The sequence below is a fragment of the Homo sapiens genome, chromosome 12, assembly GCF_000001405.40.
Source record: "Homo sapiens chromosome 12, GRCh38.p14 Primary Assembly".
Lineage (NCBI taxonomy): Eukaryota > Metazoa > Chordata > Mammalia > Primates > Hominidae > Homo > Homo sapiens.
This window is the reverse complement of record NC_000012.12, coordinates 90,277,658-90,281,778: the sequence shown is the minus strand read 5'-3', so window position 1 is coordinate 90,281,778 and position 4,121 is coordinate 90,277,658. Positions and strand designations below refer to the sequence as shown.

Genomic DNA, 4,121 nt, shown 5'->3' with positions numbered 1-4,121 from the left:
TTGACCCCTTTTAACCACAGCTGGATCTGAAGCAGCTGGGATGCAGGGCACTATGTTACAAGGCTGCATAGAGCAGCTGGGCCCTGGGCCAAGCCTGCAAAATCATTTTTCCCTCCTAGTCCTCCAGGCCTGTGATTGGAGGGCTGCTGTAAAAGTATCTGGCATCCCCTGAAGACATTTTCCCCATTGTCTTGGTGATTAACATTCAGCTCCTTGTTACTTATGCAAATTTCTGCACTGGCTTGAACTCTCCAGAAAACGGGTTTTTCTTTTCTATTGCATCATCAGGCTGCAAATTTTCCAAACTTTTATGGTCTGCTTCCTCTTGAATGCTTTGCCACTTAGAAATTTCTTCTGTCAGATACCCTGAATCATCTCTCTCAAGTTCAACATTCCAAAGATCTCTGGGGCAGAGACAAAATGCATCCCATCTCTTTGCATAGTAAGAGTTATCATATTACAGTTCCCAACAAGTTCCTCATCTCCATCTGTGACCATATCAGCCTGGACTTTACTGTTCATCTCACTATCAGCATTTTGGTAAAAGCCATTCAACAAGTCTCTAGGAAGTTCCAAATTTCCACATTTTCCTGTGTTTTTCTGAGCCCTCCAAACTGTTACAACCTCTGCCTGCTACCCAGTTCCAAATTTGCTTCCACATCTTTGGATATCTTTACAGCAGCACCACACTCTTGATACCAATATACTTTATTAGTCCATTCTCACACTGCTAATAAAAACATACCTGAGACTGGGTAATTCATAAAGGGAAGAGGTTTAATTGACTCACAGTTCAGCATGGCTTGAGAGGTCTCAGGAAACTTACAATCACGGCAGAAGAGGAAACAAGCATATCTTTCACATGGTGACAGGAAGGAGAAGAATGAGAGCCAAGTGAAGGGGGAAGCCCCTTATAAAACCATCAGATCTTGTGAGAAATTACTCACTGTCATGAGAATAGCATGGGGGAAACCACCTCCATGACTCAATTACCTCCCACAGGAGTCTCTCCCACCACATGTGGGAATTATGGGAACCACAATTCAAGATGAGATTTGGGTGGGAACACAGTCAAACCATATCATGCATCTTCTATTGCAAGAACAAAGCCTGGTGCCAAGTAGGTCTCTTTGGGTTCTCATGACAACACATCTAGGAATACTCCTCTGGCTCACAGACTGGGTGACATAAAAAGCTGCCAATTTTATGCAGAACCTTGAGTACAAAAGGGCTCTGCAGCAGATCCAGAATGTAATATAATCAATCACACAATTAGGTCAGGTAGTCTGAAAGACCTGATGGTGCTATTGTCATCAGTGGTAGAAAAGATGCAGTGTAGAATTTATCCCAAGCCATAGAGGAGGTATCATAATGACCTACCAAGTCATTAAATTGAGGAAATCTAGCTGCATCCATTATAAAGTAGAAATGGTACAATCAGGATAAAACATGAGCAGTAAGTAGTAGAGATGATGAGTTAAGTTTTATGAGCAGATAGGCCCCCATGTGACTCACAATAGTTTCTTCAGCACTCCCCTGTCATTTCACATCTATAGCCATATGCAGCTATGACTCGCTGAAAAAGGAGGAAAGAGGTCAGCTTAGTACATGGTTGAAATACAGTAGTAACCTTGAAATACAGTAGCTCAAAAATAATCTCCCAGTAGGCAGAACTTTACATGGTGTACCAGGTCATCTTTTTTATATGGAAGAAAAAGTTGGCTGAGGTGAGAATATATATAGACTCAAGGGCAGCAACCACTGACTTTGCTGATTTTTCTGGGTTCTGAAAGGGAAAGTAATATACAAGTGAAGATAAGAAGCTCCAGGAGAGAGTTATGTGAAGGGTAGATTAACATATGATGGGGAGGAGCATACTAATACTCATCAGAAAACACTCACCATGGAAGAGGAACAGAAAAATCAATCAGACAAAATAAACTGGTCAATTGATGTTAGAGTCTTTTCTGATTGGCTACATGGAGGCTATGCATGGGCTTAACAGCATGAACTCCCACTTACCAAGGCCGTCTAGCAATGGCTGCCTCTGAATATTCAACTTCCCAGCAACAGAGAACAATGCTAAGCTCCTCATATGATATATACCAAGGGAATATTTGGTAGCAAATTGATTATATTGGACCATTTCTACCTTGGAAGGCTCAGCAACTTATTCTGAGTATGTGTTGCCTTTCTTGCCCACAGAGCCTCAGTCAGCACTGAGGGGCTTACAGAGTACCTGATCCCACAGAAATGGAATCTAATCTGACATGGGACCCATTTTATAGCTAAGCAGGTATAGGAATGGGACTATGACAACAGAATGCACTGTTAGCATTCCATCTCTGCTGTATAGAAGTTGCCACTCCGATAAAGCATTAGAACAGACTGATAAAAGCACACAGAAAGTGATGCTCCCAGGGAATACTCTGCAAGAATGGGATGCTACCATCTATCATGCAACATTTGCACATGCGATATCAGACACTTCTGTTTGATGCTATTCTTTGGTGGAAACCATCTGTCTAGGTATCAAAGGTTGGAAAAGAAGGCAGTGCCACTTATCATCATTTCCAATGACACACAAAGGAATTTTATACAACCTTACCTGCAGAATTAGAGGGCCTGGTCCCAAAGGAGGCAATTTATCCAAGGGACAAAATAAAGATCTCATTGGAACTACAAGCTATGGCTGCCATGTGAGCACTCAGGACTTATTTTTTATAGAGACCAGCAGGCAAGAAGAAGTGTCACCATATTGGAAGTGGTAATTGACCCTAGACATACATGTGGAACTCAGGTAATCAGTTTGGACATCTCTTGGTACTCTCTTGATTACTTGGGACTGCGACTGCACAAATACAGAACTCTCTCCTGAGAATAGTATGGTTAGCAGAAACTCAGTTATCTCAGGAAATATTGTGGGCCACAGCCTTTAGTGAGCCACCAAGATTGGCAGGAGGTGACAGCTGAGGGCAAAAGAAATTTAGAATAAAAAGTGAAGGTGTAAAATAAGTGCCAGTTGTAATCCTGAATATAGCTGCATCATTGAGGCTGTAGCTCATCCCACTAAACTCCCTCCTAAATATTCCCCAAAGAAGAAAGACCCATCAAAACACGTGAGGCTTCCCAAAAGCATATGGTATCTGTATAAGGAAGTGGTGGACTGCAGCAGCCATTGAATTCCCTACACAGGTCTTCCATAAAACAATTTGCTACTGTTCTGCTGCAAGAAGTGCAGTTAGGAGGACCACTCCCACCTTCAGCACCTTCAGGATCTGTCTCAGCTTTCAGGTTGAGGCTATGAATTTCCTGAGCAAATCAGCCAAGAATAAGCATGGAGGAAGTACTATGTCTAATCATTTCTGCCTAACAGAGGACTCCTCTAAAAAGGGATCTTTGCTTCAAAGTTCTCCTTCTACTTGGCAGAGACTTATTTCTATGCATTGTATAGTCTGGGTCTCTCTCTGCCCCACTCCTGCTTCCTCTCCACTTCCTTTTTACATATATTAGATCTAAAGGCTTTCCACTCAATTTTTCTTATTCATCATTTTATCTTTTACAGTATGTATAACCCAATAAGTTGTTGTCACCCTTAATTCTGTCTCAATGTCTGTTTCCCAAGGGTCCTATCTGATGCAGAACTCCAGAATATGTTACAAGTATATTTGTTAAGATTATTCAGCATCAAGGTAAATTTTAGCTGAAGGGCTTTTCACAATATCTTGTATGACACATGCTTCAATTGGAAATCAATTACGCTTGCAATTTCTTTGGGGTTTGTCCTCCATATTACCAATATGCACTTCATTTCTTTGATAGTCTATTTTTCTCCTCCCTTTGTTGACATGCTCCTATTTTATGTCCTTTTATTATCTTTCACCATTTTTTCCTGAGTTCTCATTTTTGCTTCAAGATTTTATTCATATTAATATTCCTGCAATAACTTTCTTTAATTCATGGTGATACAGCTGGTGACCAATTGATTCAGTTCTATATCTGTATTTTTCTGGTGATTCTACTCTAAAGAAGTTTTTCCTCTTCTTTTTCTCCTCTTTATAACATTATTTTATAGAACGTATTTCATTTATTATTATTATTGTTAATCTTCGAATGAGGCG

General features: G+C 40.6%; 1 annotated feature.

Moving 5' to 3' along the window:
• Positions 836-1,105: an enhancer, noted in NCBI's record as "active region_6715". NCBI's record gives its function as "activates an Ori minimal core promoter by ATAC-STARR-seq in GM12878 lymphoblastoid cells {active_cell/tissue: GM12878}" and the evidence as "EXISTENCE:reporter gene assay evidence [ECO:0000049][PMID:35858748]".